Source organism: Homo sapiens, chromosome 2, assembly GCF_000001405.40.
Source record: "Homo sapiens chromosome 2, GRCh38.p14 Primary Assembly".
Lineage (NCBI taxonomy): Eukaryota > Metazoa > Chordata > Mammalia > Primates > Hominidae > Homo > Homo sapiens.
The window spans coordinates 544,537-555,413 of record NC_000002.12 but is presented as its reverse complement, the minus strand read 5'-3'; the positions used below and the strand labels follow the sequence as shown (position 1 = coordinate 555,413).

Sequence of the window (10,877 nt, the reverse complement as noted above, 5' to 3'; positions counted from 1 at the left end):
GAGTGCCTTCTGACCCTGCGCGTGACCCCCTGTTCAAGTCCACAGGCTCTGAGTGCCTTCCAACCCTGCTCATGACCCCCTGTTCAAGTCCACAGGCTCACCATGGCCTGGAAAATGCTGGCACTGCTCATAAGTCCACCTTTGAAAATTGGCTTGAACATGAGAACATGATCATTCCTGTTGTATTCATTGCATGTATTCAACAAGTGTTGTTTCATTGTCCTTGTGTTAGGTGTAGGGTAGATGACAAAAAATCAGAACACAGTCAAGTGGGAAGACAGACCTCGAGTCAGTGAACACGGTGTGCGTGTGTGTGCATGTGTGTGTGTGAGAAACAGAGACAGACTGTGAAAAAGACTGATTTAGAGGAAAGGTTCACTGCGATATTGTGGAACTTTCAGCCTAAAAATATAATTTTCAGAAATAGGACTCCGTAGATTTTCTGTTAATTGAAGCTTTTTTCAAAAATTTGGCTTAAAAAATATCTTCAAGACAGTGTTTTTGGAGGGGAGACTTGACCTCAGTTTTCTAAATAATAGATACTCCCAAGAGTTTAAATTTTAATAGGTGAACTATTATTGGTTCTTTAAATTCAGGTCCTCATAAACAAAGCAGGCACCACCAACACTCACATTAAGCAATAGTCTAAGGAAACAAAGCCATGGGAGCACGGAATGACAGCACAGGAGGCAGTGTCCGGTCTCCACGCCCCGCGGAGCAGGCCCACGTCACCCCCAGGAAGAAGGGCCCGGTCTCCACGCCCCGCGGAGCAGGCCCATGTCACCCCCAGGACACGGTGACAGCCCAGGCGGAGCAGGGAGGGCCCCAGATCAGAACAGGATGAGGACAGTTCTAAAAACTGTGAATTGTAAAAACCGCTCTCTTCCTAGAAGGATGACAGTCTTAAGGCTGCATTCTTCATGATACAAAGCATTTGAATGTTTCCCATGATGGAGAAAAGTGTTGAGTTTTCTTTTTAACTGGTTTTGTGAATGAAAACTTATACGTGGGCAGAGACAAGTCCCACGGGGGCCCGAACACGGTGGGCACGCAGGAAGCTGCCTTAAGGAGCGGGTTTTCCCCTTACCACACACCCAGCCATAGTTTTCTGTGTCCAGTGTCATGAAAATATTTGAACCAGGGACGCAAATGAAGTTCTATTCCTTACCAGATTTTTAAAAGAAGTTATTAAGTTTTTTAAAACCTTACTTGTCAAATGAGAATAAAACCTCTCTCTGTGAAGCACAAATTAAACAATGCAGGAACCAGATGGAAAACAGCTTCTGGTGTCCTGCAGCCGCTCCGCGAACTTCAGTTTCCTTAAAACACTCGGATCTTCGTTAAAATGAAACATTTTATCAGGAACGAATAGAAAAGATGGGCCATTATAATATATATTAAGAACCAGGTGCTGTACCCTCAGGGGGTCTCACACCTTATATACTAGGGGGTCAGGGGCCCAGGTAAATTAACTAACCAAAATCAACAGAATTTGGCACAGGACAAATGGGGTAAAATTCTGGACATACCACCTGCTATGTCTGTAGCCTTGGACCCGTTATTCACCTGTGTAAAAGCCAGATAAGATAGCACATGCCTCAATTCTCCCAGGAACCCTCCCCACCTCCTCCTGGGGGCACAGAATCCTCCCCACCTCCTCCTGGGGGCACAGGGACCCTCCCCACCTCCTCCTGGGGGCACAGGGACCCTCCCCACCTCCTCCTGGGACTACAGAATCCTCCCCACCTCCTCCTGGGTGGACAGGGACCCGCACCACCTCCTTCCGGTGCACAGGGAGCCCCCCCACCACCCGACCTCCTCCTGGGAACACAGCGACCCTCACACCTTCTGCTAGGAGCACAGGCCATCCGTGAGTTTTTGCTGAAGTACACAGAAATGTGTAGTGAATCCTCAACAATTGAAGACATGTTTCATTTCCCACCCTGGGCACCAGCCAGTCCCCCGGAGAAGGTAGGTGTGATCAGAGCAGGGGGGTGGCACAGCTCTCCCCAGACACCGTGGCCAGCAGGACAGATGTGAAGGATGCTGAGGTCTGGCTGGCCCCTGCTTAGGTCCCAGAATGGCCAGAACGCACTGTTCTTTTCTGAAAAATCAGACATAACCCAGGGGAATTGACATCAGATAAGCCAAGTGTCCCCAGCAAGGAAAAGTGTCCTTTCGTGTGGGCAGCCCTCCCTCAGCCCTGCCCATACCATGCAGCGCCACTGAGGGCTCCAACAGCGTGCCCTGCATGTAAGGGGACCTGACTCAGAAAAGAAAGCGCAGGCTTTTATGCACCACGTGCCACGCACAGGAAAAATCAACATTAGTTCTGTTTTTCAAATGAGAAAGCTAAATACAGAACGACAACATTAGTTCTGTTTTTCAAATGAGAAAGCTGCATGCAGAACGAGTCGTGCTTCCTGAAGCCACAGTCGTAGCCGTTTGTGGGAACCTGGAGGTTGGATTCTGGAGGGACGTCCCTGTGAGTCGAGTGCGCAGGTTCCCAGGAGCTTTGCTGTCTCCTCGCCATTGCTGCAAGGATGGGGTGCTGGGGACATGCATTCTAGAAGCCTGCTCTGCTGTGATCACAGCCCAGGGGTGGAAAATGGGAGAGCCAGAGCCTCACATGGACAGCAGGACTTTCCCTGATGGAGAAGCAAGTTACACACTACCATCTGGGGTACAATCAGAAACTTTCATGGGGATTAAGTTTTTGAAACAAGACCTGTGTGACATGTAGCTGCATTCTCATATCCTGAAGCATTTGATGGAAATGCCTAATATATTGACGTAGAAATGGGATCCTGCCAACACTCAGCCATCCATGTGCAGAAGAGCAGGCTCGGTCCAAGCCCATGGCCACCAGGCCTCCTCTATACAGCTCTGAAAGAGGAATGCATATCGTTTTGGCAGCAACACCTAATCAGGTTCAATTAGGCTATTTTTAAATGGATTTCCCTTAGTGTGGAAGAGCTGGTCAGTGTGCGGCGGTGGGTGGGGCAGGGCTGGCTAGGAGGTGAAGGAAGCCGTAGTTTTAGTATAAATTGGCTTCAGAGACTCCTTGATACATACGATGTGCATGGGAAGGCCTGGGGATGTTCTGCTTTTAGACACACTTTCTGTCTCTGGCATCAGCTCACAGATGTGCAGACATTTCTCTGTTTTGTGGGGCGGCCAGAGTGGAACAGGCAGGGAAGGGGTTGCTGGAAGACCTTTTCTCATTTGACAAAGTTTCAGTGAGTTGAGAAACTGATGTTAGTTATTGAGTACTGTATTTGCAAGTGTCTGAGCGTCATCACTGAACAAAACCAGCCCAAGTGCATGTCCCTGCGGAGCTCACAGTCTGTGGGCCGAGTGCAAAACACCAACAGGTATTTGTGAGTAAATTGTGTGATGTCAGAAGATGGCAGGGGCCATAGTTTTTGTCTTTTGTTTTCAAGGCCGTGGTGCCTGTGGCTGTGCAGGCGGCATCCTCAGAGCAGCCTGTGGATACCCTGGTGTCCGGCAGGAGGCCCGCGGGAGGCGCTGGGACAGCAGCATTCACACAAAGGGACCAACAGGCAGGGGCTCTGACAGGGACGTCTGCCCTGTGGTGAAAGAACAGGGAAGAGCCCATGGGCTGAGGACACAGGAAAGTGGGGGCAGTGGTGGGAAAGGTCGATGGGCACGACCTCGTGAGGGCTTCACAGGACCCAGGAGAGCGTCCCGGAGGATCAGGAAGACTCGCAGGGTTTTAAGCAGGAAAGTGACAGATCTGACACCTTTTTAAGTGGATTCTCAGGCTTCTGGGTTGAGAAGGGCTGGGCTGGGAAGGTGGCACCTGCCCGAGTCAAGAGGGGCGTCCGCATGGTTCAGGCAGATCGGGCAGCAGCAGTCATGGGAGCTGCTTTCTGTGTGTGCTGGGAGTGGGCCATTAGGATTTTCTGAGGAATTACACTGGGGTATGAAAGAAAGAAAGAGATGGGTGATTAACTCAAAGCACTTGCATAAGCAGCTGAGGGAGGTGTTTCAGCACCCGGGGTGGGGACTCACAGTGCGGATGATACTAACGTCCTGGAGTGAGAGCCCCAAGGCACGGGATGCGAGTACCTCTGTGTCCCACCTCCTTCACTGCAGCCTCTGTCCTGAGACGTGTTCTGGTCTGTGGATGGTGACCGAGAGGAAATAGCTCACATCACCTCCAGGTAGGAGCAGATGGAAGCACCTTTCCTGTTTCATCCTTCCCCATGCAGGGACCTCAGAAGCCTCACCAATGGCTGTGCAGCAGTCAGACCCTGAGTGACTGCACAGAGCAGAGCTCTCTGCTGACAGCTGCGCAGCTTCCGTGAATGAGAAATGAGCCTTCACTGCCTGCAGTCACCAAGGCCTGGAGGCCTCTCTGTTGAAGAAGCAAGCAGACAGGTGGAGAAGGCTGTGGGTGGAGAAGTTGGAAGCTCAGTTCTGAGCCTTTTGAGCTCTCTATTAGACGACCAAGTGCAGACATCAAGCAGGAACTTGATACATGAGTGAGCAGTCTGCAAGTGCGTGAACTTTATGTGATGGAAAATGATAACCCTCCCCCAAAAATACAACTCAGTAGATAAATTGAACTATTTTGAGTTTAAGAAGCTCACTTTCTAAAGAGCAAGCCATACAATAAAATTAATGTGAAGAAAAACTATGCAAATTAACATGATGCCATCATTTGTAATGTTATGTGACTAAACCTTTCGATCTCAATGATAGTTTGTAATACATTGGTTAGTTCAGAAAAGTGCTAAGGCACGGCGAAGCTGCTGAGGCATCCCAGAATCCTGCTCTGTACACTGTCATAAAAATGATAATATTAAAAGCCACGATCTTTAAAATGAAGATGACCCCATGATATTTGGGCATCGGAATTCCCCAAGCTCTTACAATTCTTTAATTTCAACTTTGAATGGTGTTTCATTTTCAGCAACCACCTGCATAAATAATTCATTCTCTTTAAAGATGCTGGGAACTAAGCAACTGGGATAATTGACAATTTTGAAAGGAAGAAGATGAATGTGCATGTTATGGAAAGGTCGTGTTTCCTATAAGGTTTTTCTCTCTGAGGATTTGTGTGGTGCTGAATGAAAAAATATTAAATCAACTAAAATATTTTTCTTGAAAATCTCGTAAAATTACAAAATAAAGTTTCTTTTGTGTGAAGTTAAATAGAAATGAAAATTATAAGTGGAATATTTAGAATATATAATGCATCCTCTGTGTAGATAATTTTAATCTAGTCCGGTCTTTTAAAGTCAACATAGTTTTTTTGTTTCATATTAATTAAATATAGATGTGATTTGTCAAATTGAAAGTTTCAAAATTTTTTAGAAAGAGACTGTACGCTGCTATACATAGTAAGTACAAGGATGGTAAGTTAGCCTTAGGGGTGTTGGCTGTTGACTGGTGATATTAAATACAACTGATTTCCCCTTTGTCATACTGGAGCCTTGTTCCATTTACAAAGAGATAACAGTGTAAGTCCAGCAAACCAGCTACTTACTTTTAAATGAAATTTTCAGCATTTACTGAGGCCTCAGGTACCAGACATGCATGACCAGCTGCAGGTACTAAAAGGTGAACAACTTGGTCACCCTTCTTGACTTGCTACTACAATGATAAATTATTTAAAACATGAAAAATAACTATTGTTCATTGAAAAATTAAATATAAATATATTAAATATAAAATAATTAAATATAAAATCAGGCAAGGATTTATAACTTAATTAAAGAAGTAGCCAGGTCCTAGCTCTACATATGGAAAAGTCCCATTGCTAGGCTGACTCTATGATTGCTAAAGCATATGGCACCCTTTTTTAGCCAACAACGAGAAATGCATGCTTCCTGAGCCACTTGCAAGGTTGATGGTCTTGAAGAAATATTATTTATGTCTTGGTGAAAGATCAGTGGAGACAGTGGCATTTTAGCTAGGGCCTTAGGGATGGGCTAGTCATTTCTTTCTCTAGTTTCTTTGAGTTCAATCTGATACCAATGTAAATCATCAGAAAAAAAAATTTGGCAGCACCACTGTGGCTCCCTGTAGAAATGCTGTCACTGAACAGTGCTTCCACGTGTGCCTTTATTTACTTTTATAATTACAGCACTATTCATGATCACACCCACCTAAGAAACTAGCACTGATTGAATAATACCATCTAGGATACAGCCTCTACTTACATTTCTGTAATTGCCCTGGAGAGAGTTTTCTTACTGTTTTTGAACCCAAGTTCATGTATTGTATCTGAAAGGTTTGTCTCCATCCTGTTTTTTTTTTAAGAATTGACTTTTTTAAGCAGGGTTTTAGATTCAGAGCAAAATTGAGAGGAAGGAACAGAGGTTTCCCACATATCCCCTGCACACACAGCCTGGCAGGTAGCAGCCTGCTACCACCATCCCTGCTGAAACAAAGCAGTGGTTACAGTGGATGAGCCTCCAAGGGCACACACTGTGACATCACAGGGTGTCCACAGCTTCTGTTGGGGTTCACTCTTGGTGTTTGGGCAGATGAAGAAGGGTGGAGACCGTAGGAATTTGAGGGAGCCCCTGGGGGTCCTGCAGGGAGCCTGTATTGTGCACAGACCTCCAAATTCTACAGAAGAGGAGGCACTTTGAATGCATGTTCCTGAGAAATGATCTGACTACATGCACGTTTAGAAGGACGGCCAAGGAAAGGGGAGACGTGCATTTAGCTGGGCGTCGGAAGGATCCAGAGGACACAGAATAAAGCAACAGCTTAACGGCGTTTACTTCGACCCCATGCCCAGCATTGCGTGACTGCCTTTCCAATGACAACAGCCTCTTTCTCCATCTTCAGTTATTTTTAACTATATACATATAGAAAATAATATATTTACATATATGCTACATGTGTATATATACTTAAAATAATATATTATTATTCAATGTAATATGCATTTTAAATATGAGGTTGGTTCAAAAGTAATAGCAGCTTTTGCCACTAAAAGTAATGACAAAAACCACAAGAACATCAACCTGTGTTCTATATATTTCTACATATGTGTTATATAGGTTTTAAATATAAACCTCCTCCAATACTGTTTTGGAAATAGGTTTGATGCAGTTAATACATTTCTGCATGAATAGCTTATTCTTTTTTCCGTACCAGCACAGTAGTTTCCTAGAACAATCTCTTGGAGGGGCGCTGTGCTCAGGAGGGGGTTCTCTGAAGACAAGGAAGGATGTTGGCCTCTGAGGATGCAGGTGCCACACAGTGTCCACACATCACTACAGAAATGGACACCAATGCTGCTTTGAACAGGACCCATTTCAGAGCCCATGTTGATTAGGAGAATCTAATTTACATGACTTCTGAGGCTCTAGAATTTCTCTGTAACACCACCAGGCTCAGTTGTGTTGAGTTGAGCCAAGCAGTAACTGGACAAAAATACTGTCCTGGCCTCTGGGGATGAAAGCAGATGCTGTGCCTGCGGGTCACTCTATGTTTAGTGAGACAGTCTCCTCATGAAGGTGTCTCCCTGTGCCCAGCTGTCCCTCCTTGGGTAGTGAAACACTCTCCTCGTGAAGGTGTCTCCCTGTGCCCGGCTGTTCCTCCCTGTGTAGTGAAACACTCTCCTCGTGAAGGTATCTCCCTGTGCCCAGCTGTTCCTCCCTGGGTAGTGGGACACTCTCCTCGTGAAGGTGTCTCCCCATATCTGGCTGTCCCTCCCTGTGTAGTGGGACACTCTCCCTGTGCAGGTGTCTCTCCATATCTGGCTGCCCCTCCCTGTGTAGCATGACACTCTCCCTGTGCAGGGTCTCCCCGTATCTGGCTGTCCCTCCTTGGGTAGCAGGACACTTTCCCTGTGCAGGTGTCTCCCCATATCTGGCTGCCCCTCCCTGTGTAGCGTGACACTCTCCCTGTGCAGGTGTCTCCCCATATCTGGCTGTCCCTCCCTGTGTAGCGGGACACTCTCCCTGTGCAGGTGTCTCTCCCTATCTGGCTGTCCCTCCCTGTGTAGCGGGACACTCTCCCTGTGCAGGTGTCTCCCCATATCTGGCTGTCCCTCCCTGTGTAGCGGGACACTCTCCCTGTGCAGGTGTCTCCCCGTATCTGGCTGTCCCTCCCTGTGTAGCGGGACACTCTCCCTGTGCAGGTGTCTCCCCGTATCTGGCTGTCCCTCCCTGTGTAGCGGGACACTCTCCCTGTGCAGGTGTCTCCCATTCTGCTTTCATGCCTTTCTCACATCTCAGCTCTGGGGAGGAGCCCTTGGGTCGGGCGTTCTTCAGAGCTGAGTCTTCAGAGCTGAGTGCCGCAGTGGAGCTCAGTCCTGTTGAGCAGCCGCTGCTTACGGCACAAACACACTCATACCCTTTAAATTGTTCTCTCCAAAGAGCCATTTCTGCTTTCAAAAATAGGACCACGGCGGATATTAGTTTCCAGAAAATGCTTTTTGGGACATCTTCCCGGCACAGAGCACCACCCTGTTGTATTCTCCGGAGACTTTTCCAGCTACTGGATGCTTCCAGGAATGTTGGCTGGCTGCATAACAGTATGGGTGTCAAATGCATTGCCACGACGTGCAGTAGGACCAAGCAAAGCAACTGACTCGAATTTCATAGCCTCATGCCCAGCTCCGCAGCAAGTCCCAGTGCCTTCCCTATCCACATGGAAATCACTGACATTAGTGTCAGATGTGAGTGATAAATAACAAGATAAGACAGCTGTCTTTAGAAGGCACCTATTAAAATAAAAAACTCACCTTATTCAGTTAGCACCTCTGTAGGACTTTATTTTTCAAACCAGCTTTTGATATGGCTTGAAGCAAAGTACCCTGAACATCTGAGGCAGCACAAAGTTAGAGCCCAGAGAGGGGTGTGAGGAACTTGGCATGAGCTGCGGCTCCAAGAAGCAGTGACAAGAATGTGGCCCTCTGGGCTGGCTGGGCTCCGCATCAGGAACTTGGCAAGCACATGCTCACAGCACCTGCCACGGGCCCGTCCCTGCCATGGGCACAGCAAGGGAAATGTCACTGCTTCTGCCGTAAAGAGTGTGCGGGCAGGCAGCCCCCCCAACCCACAGCCGCCCGCCATGTGGCCTCTCAGTCGCTGGTGCTCCCTGGAGTTCGGTGGGAGGCTCCACTTCCTGCCATGGCCTCTCCTGCCGGCTGGTGTCACTCAGCTCCACAATCCTCAGTGTCATCTGTAGACAAATGACCCCAAGCTTTCATCTTTGCTCTGGAGGCCTCTCCTGAGCTCCACACTTGTGATACTTCACGTTCCAGCTCAGATGTCTCACAATGTCTGGACAAGAGGTAGCAGGCACCTTTGATGCCTGGGAGAACCCACCAGCACCTGTGGCCGGCCCCCCGCATCCAGGACACCACACCCACCCGCGGCTCTCACCAGGAGCCTGGAGGTCCAGCTTCACTCCTGCCGTGGAGGCTGTAGCACATCTGAAATCTCTTCCAACTGGACTTTCTAGTTTGCTGTGTTTTCCTACAGGCCCTGGCGGTTGTTTCCCCGGGGGAAACAGTGAACTGAGGAGACTGAGGGCGGCGTGTGGGTCTCACGTCCTAGACGATGTGCTGGGGCCTTGTGAACACCAAGACACTGAATCCTTCAGGCAGCTCATTGGGTGTTACTCTTGTTCCACACATGAGGAACTTGTCAGAGAACTTTACTTACCACAATGATACAGATAACGGTTATGGAGTGTTAGCTCCTGTTCTAGGAATAGAGAATCTGTCGGTAAACAGCAGAAGGCAATTATTCAAAGGATCACGCGGACTGGATCGTAGGAGGAGCTCTAAGGGTAACTGACCTTGGGTTCTCTCCAGCACGCAGCATCACAGGAGACACCTGCAGGGAATAAGGAAGCCTCAGCCCCAGCTCACTGACTCCGTGTGCTCCACGGCAGCAGCGATGCTTCTCAAACGTCTGTGGGCATCAGGAGAAAGGCAGATCAGGGTTGTGACACAGCCCACAGTCGCCTCCTCACCACGGTGGAAGGATGCCTGCGTTTGTGATTGCACGCTTGATCAACACGGTTCTCCAGAAAGAGGCTGAGGTGAGCCTTCCAAAATCTTTTCTGCAGTCAATTTCCATCTCTGTGTAGGTCTGTAAAATCATCCCTCAATGAATTGCCTACTGTTTTTCCAGTTCGGTAAGTGGGCGGTTGACATGAAGCAACACCCCTGCTTTATCAATCACCTGGATTCCATTCAAATTCCAAACCTCTTCTGGCTTTGTATGTTTCATTCCCTGTTACTTCTTTCCATTAAAAAAAAATCAGAATGTTACCTTGACTCATGGTGAAAATGTTTTATGATGGGACAAAACCTTTAGTTGAAAATAAAATTGTTCATTTATGCAGGGATGCTATGCCCTGAAACAATAAGCTGAAGAATTGGAGAGAAAAGCCTCCTTCGAAAACTGCCCCCAGCTTTGACTGAGGTCACAGGATCTCCTGGAACATGCAGTGAGGGTGAGAACAGGGGCCAGGGGAGATTCTCCGTGCTTCTTCAGCGCCCGCTGTGGAAGGCAGACAGGAACAGGCCGTGCTAGGAGGAAAGCAGAGTGGGGGACTAGCCCTGGACTCCAGCTGCAGGGCCAGGAGGGGCCTCAGGAGGGGCCTCAGGAGGAGGAGATGGCGTTTAAATTAGAACATGATGAGCATGCATCGAGAATTGAACAGCAAAGAAGCTTGCAGGTTATTGTAGCCTGAAGAGTCACAGGTGGGTCACAGGCTGAATTAAATAACGGGTTTCCACTACAGTGTTGTTACTTCAGCAAAGTAAGAGGAAACACTAATACCTGCTGAAGGTGATGTCTTAAACCGAAGGGCAGGGGAGGTTAAACAGATCGCTGTGATTGGTCAAAAATACAATGTCAAAATAAGGAGTT

The 10,877-nt window shown here is 47.9% G+C and overlaps 1 long non-coding RNA gene across 1 annotated transcript, besides 2 other annotated features; it reads right to left on the bottom strand.

The window, feature by feature from the left end:
• Nucleotides 3,193-3,693: an enhancer, noted in NCBI's record as "H3K4me1 hESC enhancer chr2:551721-552221 (GRCh37/hg19 assembly coordinates)". NCBI's record gives its function as "activates a minimal SCP1, AML or CMV promoter by ChIP-STARR-seq in naive H9 embryonic stem cells {active_cell/tissue: H9 hESC(naive)}" and the evidence as "EXISTENCE:reporter gene assay evidence [ECO:0000049][PMID:30033119]".
• Nucleotides 3,694-4,194: an enhancer, noted in NCBI's record as "H3K4me1 hESC enhancer chr2:551220-551720 (GRCh37/hg19 assembly coordinates)". NCBI's record gives its function as "activates a minimal SCP1, AML or CMV promoter by ChIP-STARR-seq in primed H9 embryonic stem cells {active_cell/tissue: H9 hESC(primed)}" and the evidence as "EXISTENCE:reporter gene assay evidence [ECO:0000049][PMID:30033119]".
• On the bottom strand, nucleotides 8,747-9,609 carry LINC01875 (long intergenic non-protein coding RNA 1875). Its single transcript, NR_146470.1, has 2 exons — nucleotides 9,378-9,609; nucleotides 8,747-9,174 (listed from the first exon to the last, which is right to left on the bottom strand). It is a non-coding gene; the product is annotated as a long intergenic non-protein coding RNA 1875 (long non-coding RNA).
• Between the last annotated feature and the right edge of the window lie 1,268 nt (nucleotides 9,610-10,877).